The 14746-nt window shown below is 42.6% G+C and overlaps 1 protein-coding gene across 15 annotated transcripts in view, besides 4 other annotated features; it reads left to right on the top strand.

The window, feature by feature from the left end:
* Window positions 2252-2922: an enhancer, noted in NCBI's record as "H3K27ac hESC enhancer chr21:48054684-48055354 (GRCh37/hg19 assembly coordinates)". NCBI's record gives its function as "activates a minimal SCP1, AML or CMV promoter by ChIP-STARR-seq in naive H9 embryonic stem cells {active_cell/tissue: H9 hESC(naive)}" and the evidence as "EXISTENCE:reporter gene assay evidence [ECO:0000049][PMID:30033119]".
* Window positions 2693-2912: a silencer, noted in NCBI's record as "silent region_13423". NCBI's record gives its function as "represses an Ori minimal core promoter by ATAC-STARR-seq in GM12878 lymphoblastoid cells {active_cell/tissue: GM12878}" and the evidence as "EXISTENCE:reporter gene assay evidence [ECO:0000049][PMID:35858748]".
* Window positions 3023-3572: a silencer, noted in NCBI's record as "silent region_13424". NCBI's record gives its function as "represses an Ori minimal core promoter by ATAC-STARR-seq in GM12878 lymphoblastoid cells {active_cell/tissue: GM12878}" and the evidence as "EXISTENCE:reporter gene assay evidence [ECO:0000049][PMID:35858748]".
* Window positions 3154-14746, top strand: part of PRMT2 (protein arginine methyltransferase 2) — a 29451-nt gene continuing 17858 nt past the window's right edge. For 8 of the 15 annotated variants that reach the window (NM_001535.5, NM_001286677.2, NM_001242864.3 and 5 more), the window contains exons 1-4: window positions 3154-3243; window positions 4376-4470; window positions 11015-11119; window positions 11786-11968. In NM_001535.5, coding sequence (NP_001526.2) covers window positions 4432-4470; window positions 11015-11119; window positions 11786-11968 — 327 coding nt within the window. In that variant the 5' untranslated portion in view covers window positions 3154-3243; window positions 4376-4431. Of the gene's footprint in view, window positions 3244-3918; window positions 4028-4375; window positions 4471-11014; window positions 11120-11785; window positions 11969-14746 lie in introns of all 15 variants that reach the window. The other 7 variants (NM_206962.4, XM_006723998.5, XM_006724000.4 and 4 more) reach the window with 2 other exon arrangements.
* Window positions 8682-9182: an enhancer, noted in NCBI's record as "H3K4me1 hESC enhancer chr21:48061114-48061614 (GRCh37/hg19 assembly coordinates)". NCBI's record gives its function as "activates a minimal SCP1, AML or CMV promoter by ChIP-STARR-seq in naive H9 embryonic stem cells {active_cell/tissue: H9 hESC(naive)}" and the evidence as "EXISTENCE:reporter gene assay evidence [ECO:0000049][PMID:30033119]".

Consider the following 14746-nt stretch of genomic DNA (forward strand, 5'->3'; position numbering starts at 1 on the left):
GACCCTACACTGAATCCTGGGTCTCCAAAAAGCGAAAATTATTATGAGGTTAGACTACATCATGCTTTTACAGTGCACTTAAAAAACTTTTTTCAACAAAGACATTTCTACATGTCTAAACTATACTATTCCTTAAGAACTCCAGAGTAGCCTCTGTTGCAGTAACTATTTTAGTAAAAAAATTAGGTAACACAATACAAAAGCAAGCAGTTTAAGAGCTGAGATGAAAAAAAAAAAAAGCTGAGATGAACTTGTCTGTTTACACATTTGGGGTTCCATAAGGAAACAGAGGTTTCTCCTCCAAGGGGAATCTGGCACCTTCTCCGTTTTCTGTAAGGAACCCTGGGTATTACAAACTATATTAGGTTTCCCATGAAGCAGAGGGTGCAAGAGAAAGAAGACACGACAAAAGTAAATGAAGAAAACAGAAGCCAGTCAACTAAGAAGAAAAAAACTTTTGCTCAAAAAGACAAGGTCCTAGGAGAGAAAAAAACAAAAAAAACAAAACTGGAAGCCTTTTAAATACAAACACACACACACAGGCACACAACACACATATGTTGGATGTTAGCTTTTAATTAAGCTTTTAACCATTGAGCTCCTTAAAAATAAACTTTTTCAATCTCATTACTGGCTGGGCATGGTGGCTCATGCCTGTAATCCCAACACTTTGGGAGGCCGAGGTAGGCGGATCACTTGAGGCCAGTTTGAGACCAGCCTGGCCAACATGGTGAAACCCCATCTCTACCAAAAAAATACAAAAATGAGCTGGGTGTGGTGGTGCAGGCCTATAATGCCAGCTACTCAGGAGGCTAAGGCATGGGAATCACTTGAACCTGGGAGGTGGAGGTTGCAGTGAGCTGAGATTGTGCCACTGCACCCCAGCCTGGAACACAGAGCCAGACTCTGTCTAAATAAATAAATAAATCTCATTATCATATTTCAGCTAGGACTAATTGCTGCTATTTCAGAAGTACCAAGTATCAAACCAGAAAGGGCTTAATTTAGGAACTAAACCCAGGCTGTGGTGGTGGAAAAAAAGAAGGCAGAACCCTTAGGTATGGAACTGCAGTGTGGGGTGACAGACATTACTCTTTTTGGTTGGTCTGGCTAGCAAAAATGTGGCCTTGTTATGTAAGAAAAGCCCTTTAAGTAGTCAAAATAAATTTTTTTTTTCTTTTTCCTTTTGCTAGCTGTTTTTCTCCCCCCACCACATCACCTTTTGTGTGTGTGTGTGTGGTGGGGAGGGGTTGAAACTTAGCCACTTCAGAGGCCTCACTTCTCATAATTTGGAACTTTCCTTTGGTTTCGATCAAGTCAGATAGAGTTCGTCAAACTCAATGCGAAAAAGACAAAAGAACAAAAAACAGAAACAACAACAAAAAAACCAGTTAAGCGAAACGAAGGATTGGGCAATTTATAAGGTTACTGAGCACACTAATGGTAAGGAGAAATTAAGACCAGCTGGTTGTTAATCTTAATAGCCAAGACAAACCCCAATTCAGTTACTTCCTAGGGATGGGTCTGAGGCTGAAGATTGCTCTCTACCACCCTAGAAGCAGAGGAAGAAAACCCCTCATCTTTCCTGTGGGAAGCGAGCTCAAACTCCATAAACGAGTTACCTGCCTTCCATTGTCATGGAAGCAGGAAAAAACTACTACTTCCTTATGTTGGAAGAGAGTAAAGCACACCCCGCCCCCCAACCCCCGCCCAACACACAAAAGGAGTTGTACAGCAAAATAAACTAGATCTTGACTAAATCTGGGTAGATCAGGGATTCTCTGGAGGGGGTGCTTCCAGGCCTCAGCAAATTGTCCTATTGGTTTGAGCCATAAAGATAGCTCAAGCTGGTACTAAGGACTGACAGATTTGTCAAAGGTCAGTGGCACCTCTACTCAGAATCCCTTTGTGGTTACCAAAATGTGAACCTTGAATATCTGAGTCAGATCTCAGTCAACTTAGGAAGTTTATTTTGCTGAATTTAAGGATGCACGCCCATGACACGGCCGTCGGAGGCCCTGATGACATGTGCCCAAGGTGGTCAGAGCACAGTTTGGTTTTATACGTTTTAGGGAGACATGAGACATCAATCAATATATGTAAGATGAACATTGGTTTGGTCCGGAAGGGCGGGACAACTCAAAGCAAAGGCAGGAGGGAGCTTCCAGGTCATAGGTAAATATGAGACAAATCATTGCATTCCCTTGAGTTTCTGGTTAGCCTCTCCAGAGGTGGCAATCAGATACGCATTTATCTCAGTGAGCTGAGAGATGACTTTGAACAGAATGGGAGGCAGGTTTGCCCTAAGCAGTTCCCAACTTGACTTTTCCTTTTAAGCTTAATGATTTTGCGGCCCCCAAATTTATTTTCCTTCCACATTTTTTTTTTTAAATCAGACTTAAGGTCTGCCTTGATGTTAATGCTGGAGGAGTGTAAAAAGGCATGTCCAACTCTTACTTCCCTTCGAGGCCAGAATAGTCTCTCAGGTTGAACTTCAGGGTCCCCTGGTAAAGGAGGGAGTCCAGTCAGACGGCTGCGGGGGAGGGGGGGCTTCGAATTTTATGTTTTACAGGCATTAGCGCCACCCATTTCTCCTTAACCCCAAACTTCCTCTCCCCACAACAGAAACGTCATCATTCTGCTTCCACTTATCCAGAAGAAAGGCAGAGGGCGCACACTGCGCAGCGCGGATGGGAAAGTTAACTGAATTATTTGCGGGAAGACAGAGGAGGTGGGGGGTCCCCCAAGCCCCAGCCATTTTGTGGCTCGTAGGGGTTGTCGCTTCCCAAGCCGTGAATGGCCCAAACCCGCCCCCCGCCCCAGGTCGGACTCCTGCCCCGCGCCCCTCTGGGTCGGACCCCAAGCCGAGCCCCCCAACCCCGCGGCTGGGCTGGGCGATTGGGGACGAGCTCCACACATGGAGAACCTGGCCTCGCCTCGCAAGACCGCGGGACGCGCAGATGTGAAGTGCGCCTGCGCGGGGCGCAGCCCCAGCTGCAGACGATCTGTGAGCGACGCGCCGGCGCAAGTCGAGGGCGGTGGCTTGGCTTCCCTGGAATGGGGGACGTCTTAGGACTGCGCCTGCGCGGGGCGCCGGGCCCTGGGCGGGGCCTTCCCGGCTGACGGCCTGCGTGCACTGCGCTTGCGCGGGTTGAGGGCGGTGGCTCAGGCTCCTGGAAAGGACCGTCCACCCCTCCGCGCTGGCGGTGTGGACGCGGAACTCAGCGGAGAAACGCGATTGAGGTAGGTGTCCTGATGGGCAGCTCAGATGGCTGGACTGCACGTAAGGAAGGACAGGCCAGGTGAGGCGTCCTCGCACTGCGTGTGCGTCGCTGGCGGACAGAGGCCTCCGCCCCCTTTTGGGACCTCCGAGCGCCTTCGCGATCTCAGCCACTTTCCCTGGCGTCCAAACGGGAGCTCGGTCCCCGTCACACCCTTCCCTGCGTGCCGCACCCCTTCCCGGCCACTCCCGCCGTCCAGCGCCTTCTACGGCCACGCCCACCCCACCACCATCTCTGTCACGCCCTTCGCGGCCACGCCCACCTGCCTGGCGGCCCCTGCCCCGAAGCTCGCGGCGCTGTCCCAGCCTGACCCTCTCGTGCCCCTGCGTCCACGCGTGGCCCTCTCGCTTCCTGCCCCCTTCTCACCCCCCTTCACTGGCCACCTGTTCCAACCCTCCATGATCCTGTTCCTCCCGAGGGCATCTTAGGAGGGCAGGGTCCTGCGCGCACTGCGGCCTCCACTCCGACCCCGTCCCAGTTTGGACCCAGGTCTTCCAATGAAAATATAATTATGCAAATCAGTAAGCATTTGTAACTACGAATATCACAAAAATAAGCTTCAAGTCTGGATTTAGAAGTGAAGCATGCATTTTAAACAAAGAATTGCTATGCAATTTTAAAAACACATTGATCCCAGAGCAGTGTGTGGATTACACTATCACTGGAAAAATACGAATTGAGAAGAAGGAAAAGACTGGAAGATGCAGACCTTGGTTCCTGTTAGTGGAAACACTGTAAGGTCCCAGGTAGGGACTTTTAATTGGAATTAAAGCTATCACACTTCTAAGAAATTAATGAATACTGATTTATTGCCTTAAGTCGACACCTGATCTAACAGAAACTAACAGGCTTCAGCAAATGAACAAGATTAACACCTTGCAGACTAGTGAAGAAAACACACTATTTGAAGTTTATGATTTTTAAATGCTTTTGTCTCTGTAAAGTATTGTAAATTTTCATTTCTACACTAATCTTCACACATACACATTTTACTTCTATTTGGTAGAGGACATCATGCACATTAGAAGTTAAGTGAACTCAATTATTAAGCAATGTAACAAGTACTTTGTGTCTCCTTCTCTTTTTAAAAGTAGAAATGGAAAAGAAAATGAAATAAATCAGCAGTTATGAGGCAGAGCCTAAGAGAACTATGGCAACATCAGGTGACTGTCCCAGAAGTGAATCGCAGGTAATTTCCGTTCCACTTCCTAAAAATCTGTGTTTAATGAATGTGAGCATTACAGAGAGCTAAGCGTCAGCTCACAGATGTGATGGAGCTTGGCTTGTGCCTTGGAAGGTGGCCACCGGCAGTAGAATGCTTAAATGTGAAGATTGTGAGGCAGAGGAAACGCAGTGCCTGTAAGGTGACATCCTGCATTGGGCACCATAACAATTCTAAGGAAATACTTAGCCCCAAAACATCAGCATCATTTAGGGTTCCATTTTTGGTACGTGAACTGGCAAAGCAAGCATATTTTCTGAGCTGTTCAATAAAATTTCAGGCATAATACCAGCAATATATTGAAGGCAAGTTGGACACATTAGAAAAGATTTATGTATTCATACTGTTTCTGCCTGGGGTACTCATGTAGTTTCGTTCAAGTTAGCAGTAAAAAATACCCCTCAAATTGTAAAGACTGTTGATTATGTAAAAGTCACCAACTGAATAATAGATACTGTTTTTAAAAATCAAGCATTTCCGTATCTGTTATGTCAATTTTAATGTTTTCTTTTTTTCTCTTTCATTCCAATGAGCTTTCATTTGGCTTTTTATATATAGGAATTTTATTTATAGTCAGAATCTTTCGTTAATTTCTTTAATTATTCATAAAATGTTTTAATTCCGTGGACATCTTATTTTTCTTTTGAGAAATTTAACAAATATTAGGACATTTCCAGAATGATATTGTAAACATCAAGTACATTAAACAGTGTACATTAAGCTATATATATGTGTGTGTATATACATATATGTGTGTGTGTGTGTGTATATATATATGTATATGTAAAAAATACTGTCGGGTGTGTCTGTAGTTCAGCTACTCAGGAGGCTGAAGCAGGAGAATCACTTGGGGCCGGGAGTTTGAGGATGTGGTGTATTATGATTGTGCCTGTGAATAGCCACTGCATTCCAGCACGGCCAATAAACTGAGACTTCATCTCTTAAAAAAGAAAAAGCGACACTCTAGATAAAGTTTGTTCCCCAGTCTCAGTCCTATTCCTCCTCTTCTCTCTCTAGAGGCAAACACTACTGTGAATCATGAGTCTGTTTTGTGCCACTGCACCATTTTTATACCTCTATGGCTTATATAGATATACTTGAATGACATATGATATTGTTTGTGTGGGCTTTTTAGAGTTTCCATAGTGGTGTCATACTGTCAGTGTCACCTGTAGCTTGCCTCTTCATATAACTTTACCTTTGGGGAAGTTGTCCTTGTTATGTGTGTAATGCTGGTTCAATCCTGCCACTGTAGGGTACTCCTGTAGTGTGTTCCTTCTCTGAAAGTGTAAAGTATCCTATTTGTAGATATGTGTATGGGCCTGTTGCAGTCTCACTGCTACACAGTAGGCATATACCCCATTTTACTTATTCCCTTTTTGTTGGACACTTAAATTGTTTCTAGTTTTTTCTATTTCAAACAATGCTGTAGTGACCATCCGTCTCCATGCCTCTGTGCTCCAGTAATGGCATTGCAGGGTGCAAGGGATTGCAAGTTTCAGTTTTACTGGATAATGATCAGTTGTTCCCCACAATGACTTTACGAGTTCACAGGTCTGTCAGTAGCCCACAATAGTGCTTACTAACACTTGACAGTATCAGACTTTTAAGTTTTGGTCAGTCTCATGGGTTAGAAATGGTATTTTGTTATTTCAATTTTGCTGACTGGTCATGGTAGTATTTCAGTAATACTTGTGTTCATCCTGTTAATACCACCCTCCATTATAGAAGAGATGTCTTATAATGGTAATTTGTGTTTTATCTCTTTTTTTCACACTTGATCAATCTTTTCTTAGGGTTTTATCAATTTTATTTTTATAAAGAACCAATTTTATCTGTGTTGATTTCTCTGTTTTTCTATTTCATTGATTTCTGCTTTTGTCTTTATTTCATTCTGTTGTATTTGGGTTAATTTTTATAACATCTGAGAGGGAAGCTTAGATAATTGATTTTAAACCTTTCTTTAATAGTCTTTAAAGCTATGACTTTCCTCTAATCACTGCTGTAGCTGTACCTCACATATTTAAATGCATTTTCATTCTTCAAAATATTTTCTAATATATTCAATGGAAATTAGAAGTTTTCTGGGCTATTTGAAAGTATGTTGACCAATTTCTAAACATATTGGAAATTTTACTTTTTCTTATTTAATTTTGCTTTGATTACATTGGTTAGAGAACATAACATCCTCTATAATTTCAGTCTTTTGAAATTTATTCAGGCTTGCTTTATGTTCTAATCATATGGAATATGTTGGTGAGTGTTCCATGAGTACTTGCAAAGACTATGTATTCTGCAGTTGTTGAGTGTAGCATTCTATAAATGTCATGAAGATCAAATGTGTTATTAGTATTGTTGAAATCTCTATATCTTTTCTGATTTTTTTTGCCATCTTCTATCAGTTACTAAAAATTCTCCACTATGATTGTAGATATATCTATTTTTCCTTTTGGTTCTATCACTTTTTGCTTTGTATATTTTGAGTCCCTGTTATTGGGTGTATATATTTAGTATAGGTTTTGTTTTCTAGATTAATTGACCTTATTTTTTATAAAACATCTGTCTTTTTACCTGTTAATAAATACTTCTTTTCTTGCGTGTACCTTTTTTTTAATGCTAATATAGCTGTACCAGCTTTTTTTTTTTATCATTAGTGCTTACATAAAGTGTGTGTGTGTGTGTGTTTGTGTGTGTGTGTGTGTGTATTTTTTTTCCCTCAACTTAAGTCCTTATATTTAAAGCGTTTTTCTCGTAAAGAGCTAGTTGGGTCTAGCTCTTAGGTCTGTTTTTTTGTTTCTCTGTTAAACACAATTTCTGCCTCTTAATTGGAGTATTTAGTCTATTAACACTTCATGTTATGACGAATGTGATGAAGTGTAACATTTTGCTGTTTGTTTTATGTTTGTCACATTTCTTTTTCCTGCATGTCTCCATTCCTGCCCTCTTGTGGATAAATAAAGGATTTTCTATAATTCCATATTACCTCCTTTAATAGCTTGTTAGCTGTATCTTTTTATATTGTTTTAGTGTTTTCCCAAGAAATTGCAGTATGCATCCTAATTCAATTTCAGTCTTTTTTTTAACTACTTCATAAGGTAAAGATCTTAGAAGTTAGTTTCATTTACCAGCGTCCATATTTTTGTACTGTTGATGTAACATTTTAATTTTACATATGTTGTAAACGCCACAATAAATTATCATTATTGCTTTACGCTATCGAGTCTTTTTTTATGAAGTAAAATAAATAGTCTTTTTTATGTTTCCCCACATATTATTTGCCTTTTTTGAGGTCTTTCCCTTTTTCTTGCATTCTGTGTTTTCATGTAGGATCATTTCCCTTCAACCTGACAACTTTATGTTTATATTTACTAGTGTGAGTCTGCTGTGTCAAACTATGAAATGTGTTTTGCCTACATTTTTTTTTTTTTTTTTTTTTGAGACGGAGTCTCGCTCTGTCGCCCAGGCTGGAGTGCAGTGATGCGATCTCGGCTCACTGCAAGCTCCGCCTCCTGGGTTCACACCATTCTCCTGCCTCAGCCTCCCGAGTAGCTGGGACTACAGGTGACCACCACCACGCCCGGCTAATTTTTTGTATTTTTAGTAGAGACGGGGTTTCACCATCTTGGCCAGGCTGGTCTCAAACTTCTGATCTCAGGTGATCTGCCCACCTTGGCCTTGATGGTTTTTTTTTTTTAATTTTGGAAAAATCTCCACCATTATCTCTTCATTTATTTTTTTCTGCCTCATCTTCTGTCTTCTTTTTTGGGGTCTCCATGTAAACATAAGTTAGAATTTTTGCTGCTGTTTGACATGTCTCATGCTCTATTCTTATTTTTTTTTTCATTTTGTGCTTCAGTTTGGAAAATTTCTGTTGACCTGACTCTTGAGGCGCTGATCATAAACAAGATAACTGGGAAAACAATATGTTTGTAAAACAATTTCTTGAGATGTGAAATAGTATCTATATTGTACCAAGAGTAGTCCCAGCTACTTGAGAGGCTGAGGTAGGAGGATTGCTTTAGCTTGGGAGGTGGAGGTTGCCATGAGCCAGGATCATGCCACTGCACTCTAGCCTGGGTGACAGAGGGTGACCTCATCTCAAAAAAAAAAAAAAAAAGCGTATTCTTCAACCCTGGCATTCTATCCTGCAGAAATAAAATGTCATCACATAAGCTTGTCTGTGCACAGACTTCTTTTATTGCAGCATCGGTTATGGTGGTAGAAAACTGGATACCAAGACAAAGTCTATCAAAGGGGGATGGCTGAAGAATCAAGCGGAATTCCTGCTATGGAATATCGTATAGCCATTGAAGGTAGTAAATCAGGGTTCTAACAGTTGGAGAGTTTTTCCAGAAGGTATTGTGTAAGAAAAGCAAAGTGCAGGTCAGGCGTGGTGGCCCACGCCTGTGATGCCAGCACTTTGGGAAGCTCAGGTGGGCAGATCACTTGAAGTGGGGAGTTCGAGACCAGCCTGGCCAACATGATGAAACCCCATCCATTTCTACCAAAAATGCAAAAATTAGCCGGGCGTAGTGACACACGCCTGTAGTCCCAGCCTCTCGGGAGGCTGAGGCATGCGAATTGCTTGAACTGGGGAGGTGGAGGTTGCAGTGAGCCGAGATTGTGCCACTGCACTCCAGCCTAGGCGACAGAGCGAGACTCCATCCTAAAAAAAAAGCCAAACAAAGAAACAGCCTGTGTGTGTGTGTGTGTGTGTGTGTGTGTATACGTGTACACAGGGCTTTGTGTGTGACATGGGCATGGTGGAGGTGTGGAAGGCCGCACACCGGGGGGTTAGTAAGGGTTGCCTGGGCTGGGTGGATCGGGGATGGGGTGGAGAGCAAGCAGAGGGCAGTGCTGCCTTAGAGTGAGTCATGCTCCTGGCATAGGGAAAAGCACGAAGGGTACAAATAGACAGTAAGGTAAAAAAAGATGCCAGCAAGTATTTTAAAAACGCCTAACCACACAAAGAGAGGGAAATGGAAGTAACAACAGTGATTTTTACCCATGAAATTGACAGAGACTAAAGTGATTGGTATCTATTGAGTGAGAGTGTGGGAAGATTGGTGGTTCCCTCTCAGCAAGCGGTCCAGGGAACACCTTTCTGGAGAGCACTGGGTGGTAAAACCAAAAGCCACATAGTCTCAGTCCATCAGGTTCACATTCAGAGACTTACCCTAAGAAGATTAAGGTACATACAGAATGATTTATGTTGAAAGAAGTTCATCTTAACATGATTTAGAATAGTAAAAACTGAAAAGTCTAAATGTACAAGACTAGGAAACTGGATAGGTAAGTCCTGATAATTCATAGACTGGATATTAAATAGTGTTAGAAGTATATTTAATAAGAAAAATGTTCAGAGTTTATAAAGTGAAAACCATAGGCCACAGGCTTATTGTGTGAACCCAGTGAATGCTTTGTACTTATGTTACGTGTCCACTTTTTTAAAAGTCTGAAAGTATAAACACCAATGTGCTGTCTGTTATTATCTGTGATCAGTGAGCAAAATTACAGGAGGTTTTAATTTTCTTCTGTGTACTTGGTGTTTTCACACATTTTCTAAAGTAAACACGAATTACTTTTATGTTTAGGAAAATGTGTTTAAAATGTATGTATTGAGACAAGGTTGATTCATTGAACTGGAGTGTGTGATCTGAGGTTCTGCCCCCTGCAGTGATGTCTTCCAGGCAAGCTTATTCTTATATAAAGTGAACGGCCAGGCATGGTGGCTCATGCCTGTAGTCCTAGCACTTTGGGAGGATGAGGCAGGTGGATTGCCTGAGCTGAGGATTTCGAGGCCAACCTGGGCAACATGGTGAAACCCCATCTCTACTAAAAATACAAAAAATTAGCTGGGTGTAGTGGTGCACACCTGTTGTCCCAGCTACTTGGGAGGCTGAGGCATCAGAATCACTTGAACCTGGGAGGCGGCAGAGGTTGCCCTGAGCCGAGATCATGCCATTGCCCTCCAGCCTGGGCAACAGAGCAAGACTCTGTCTCAAAAAAAAAAAAAAAAAAAAAATGGAGGGGTTGGGGGAGGCTCCAAGGACCTGTGTGGGTCCAAGCTGGGCTCTGCTGCCTCGTGGAGGTTTGTGCCATGCCATCAGCTCTTTCCACAGGCCCCTGGCTGTGCCTGCCTGGGGCGCTGGGCCCCTGGCTCTGTCCTCACACTGGTTTCTCTTCATGGGGTTGATGATCACCTTCAGGAAGCAAAGCTGATGAAGGACAAGGGCTCCTCACCAAATAGACACTAGTGGTGCCTGTTTCTGACTTCTTGCTTTGATGTTCTCTTTTAGGGTCCAGATAATTTTTTTTTTTAGAAAAGAAATGTAGAGTGAAGGTGACAGCCTTTGATTATAGTAGTAAAGATGATCCAAATAGTTTGTATAATAAATACTTGGACACATGAATCTGTATTTGAAATTTGAAACCATCCTAATAATATAGCCAAAAAAAAAAAAAAAAAGCTCCAGCGTCCTCTCCTCACGCTTTCCTTGGCTTTGAGCAGGGAGAAGAGCCTGCTGAGTGCAGTGAGGCCGGTCTCCTGCAGGAGGGAGTACAGCCAGAGGAGTTTGTGGCCATCGCGGACTACGCTGCCACCGATGAGACCCAGGTAGCCACACGTGGTGGTTAATGCTTTATGGCTTTCAGCATGTTCAGTGTCAAAAGGAGATAAATTTTGCAGACGTCACACCAAAGTTAAATGAAGAGGTATTCAGATGCGTAGGGCCACACAAGACCTGTGTGTGAAGCTCACAGCCCAGCCAGTTCTGCCTCAAGCATGATGTAAAGATACGAGGCATGGAGTGGGGACCCTCAGCCAGGGGCAGAAGCACCTGTTCTGGTTTCTACTTGGAATGTAGAACCCACCCAGTTAATGAAAAGTAAGGCTACCAAATATATCAAGCTATATCTGCTTGGACATAGCTTTGTTTACTTTGTGACAGGAATTTCTTAGAGTCAGCCTCCAGTAACTCAGTTGGCATAGTTGAGTTACAATGAAGAGGCTGTTGAGAAATTCTCTCCTAAGCCATTTGAAAATGTTTACTCCTTCTTTTAAAAAATATCTGTTAAGCTGTGCCCTCCTTTCAGGTAGATGTTCCAGAGGCATCGCTAAGTCATGGTGTCACTTGCAAACATTCTCAGTTGCTGTCATTACCCACTGACTCCTGTTTGAAATCTCTGTGATTTTGTCACCATTGATGGGATTTATCACTGAGCCACATTTGAAATACCAATGACTGGTTTTCTTATTGAATTTTAACTTTTTTTTTTCCAGCTCAGTTTTTTGAGAGGAGAAAAAATTCTTATCCTGAGACAAACCACTGCAGATTGGTGGTGGGGTGAGCGTGCGGGCTGCTGTGGGTACATTCCGGCAAACCATGTGGGGAAGCACGTGGATGAGTACGACCCCGAGGACACGTGGCAGGATGAAGAGTACTTCGGCAGCTATGGAACTCTGGTATTGCTTTCTAAATTCCCTGTTCAGCTGGCCAGGCGGTGGGTTCTCTCTAGCTTTAGTTCTACTGCAACGTTCAGAGCAGGCCCATAGTCTTACAGGCCAGAGCTCCTCTGTTGTAGCCACTCAGCTCTGACATGGTTGTGTGGAAGCCACTGTGGATGACACACAAAGTGTGCACTGTTGTGTTCCAATAAAACTTTATTTATGGATCTTGAAATTTGAATTTATACTGTACAGTTTTCATGTGTCACAAAGTATTTTCTTTTGATTTAAAAAAATCATTTAAAAATGTAAAACCCACTGTTAGTTTGGAGGCCATCCAAAAACAGGTGGTGGGCTAGATTTGGCCCATGGCTTAGTTTGCCGACCCCTGGCTTAGAGATATGATTTGAGCAATGAGATTATGTGCGTGCTCCCTCAGTATTTAAAAAAAAAGCAGTAAATTTTACTTTAAAAATGAAATTAGGCTGAGTGTGGTGGCTGACACCTGTAATCCCTACACTTTGGGAGGCCAAGGCAAGAGGACACTTGGCTTGAGACCAAGTGTTCAAGACCAGCCTGACAACATAGTGAGAAAAAATAAAAAATATAATTCGTCTCTACAAAAAAAAAATTAAAAAAAAATATAATTAGCTGGGCATGGTGGTGCACGCCTGTAGTCCCAGCTACTCGAGAGGCTGAAGTGGGAGGATTGCTCAAGCCTTGGAGGCCAAGGCTGCAGTGAGCCATGATGGCGCTGTTGCACTTCAGCCTGGGCTACAGAGCGAGAGCCTGTCTCAAAAAAAAAAAAAATAGAAAAAATTCTATAAATCTATGAATAATACTACTTAGGTCAGGTGTGGTGGCTCATGCCTGTAATCACAGGACTTTGGGAAGCTGAGGTCAGAGCATCACTTGAAGCCAGGAGTTCAAGTCTGTGGTGAGCTATGATTGCGCTACTGCACTCCAGCCTGGGTGATTGAACCAGACTCTGTCCCTAAAAAAATAATAAAAGCCCAGCTTCTAAATAGCTTACCGAAATTTTTTCCCCACCATGGAGAAATGCCTATAACCCGATGGTCCAGGCAACAATCTCTGGTTACATTTTAAAACTAGATGAAAACAGTTACTTGCAGGATGAATGTTATAAAAATGATGTTAGTTGAAAGAAGGAATAGGGCAAAGAATCTATAACGTTTGACTCAATTATATAAAGTTAAGAGGCCATATTAGAAGGTTTTTTGTTTGTTTTTGTTTTTTTTTTTTTGAGACGTAGTCTTGCTCTGTCACCCAGACTGGAGTGTGGTGGCAGGATCCTAGTTCACTGCAGCCTCTGCCTCCCGGGTTCAAGCAATTCTCCTGCCACAGCCTCCTGTGTACCTGGGACTACAGGTGCGTGCCACCATGCCTGGCTAATTTTTGTATTTTTAATGAGGGGGTTTTGCCATGTTGGCCAGACTGGTCTTGAACTCCTGGCCTCAAGTGATCCTCCTGTCTCAGCCTCCCAAAGGGCTGGGATTACAGGCATGAACCATTGCGCCCGGCCGGAAGGTACTGTTTGTGAGTGTGCATGGGTGCTGAGACTGACTGAGGGCAGGAGTGGCTCCCCTGTTGGTTGAATGGAGGTTACCTGCTGGTAGGGGAGGCTCTGGGACCAGCGTGGCTGAGTCAGGAGTTCTGACATGCTGGCAGTGTTCTGGGGTTGGATATAGGTATAGAGGTGTTTGCTATATAACAATACTTGACTAACTCTGCAGATACTTTTTATTGCACTTTTTCGCAGGTATGCCATATTTCACAATTAAAAGTGTTAAAAACTATTCATGTCTGTACATGGTTAGTGATTTCTATCCGTTAAGGAAAGATACATAATGAAAAGCCAATTCCAGCCTCCCACCTCTGCCGCCTCTCAGCTCAAAGAACCACTGCCCACCAGATTCCTCTGTGCTTATGAAGTCCAAGTGACACCTAATGTATTTTACGTTTTTAATGTATAGAAAAGGCATTGTTCCACCACTCAGGTCTTCACCTTGCTCTTTTCACGTAGCTGTAGTATTTTGAAGATCTCTCATATTGGCACCTGTCACTCTTTATAACAGCTGCAGAGCGTTGTGTTACTTTAAAAGGGTCCTGTTGATATTTGGACAGTGGTTATTTAATAGCTTTTTATCATGATAAATAATGCTGTAATGGAGTCCTGTATAATCCTGTTAAATGCTGTTTAGAATTTCTATAGGGTAAATTCCTACGGGGTGTGTGTGTGTAGTGTGTACATGTGGTTTCCTTAAGTGGATCTTGCCAGTTCGCCCTCCAGAAAGATTTGCTAATTATACACTTGGTCTGTTTGTGCTGCTGTAACAAAATACCTTAGACTGAGTGAATTATGAAGAACAAAGCTTTGTTTCTCGCAGTTCTGGAGGCTGGGAAGGCATTGGCATTGGTGTCCAAGATGGCGCCTCATGGCTGTCCTCACGTGGTGAAGGCGGGAGGGCTGGGAGCACCTCTTTCACCACAAACCCTTTCATAGTAACCTCCAAAGGTGGCCTCTTAATGCCATCACACTGACGATTAAGTTTCAGTACATGGATTTTTGGAGACATTTCAGACCGTGGCATGATGGTGTGTGAAAGCTCATTTCCCTACCACAAATCAAAGTGAAAAAGGACTTTGATCTTAAAAGTTAAATATGGCATCTTTTAGTTTTGATTTCCATTTTTTAAGTAAGATTGATTATCTTTTATGTGTTTATGGGCCTTTTGTATTTTTTCTTTTTTTGTAAACTTTCATATTATTTGCCCC

Source organism: Homo sapiens, chromosome 21, assembly GCF_000001405.40.
Source record: "Homo sapiens chromosome 21, GRCh38.p14 Primary Assembly".
Classification (NCBI taxonomy): Eukaryota; Metazoa; Chordata; class Mammalia; order Primates; family Hominidae; genus Homo; species Homo sapiens.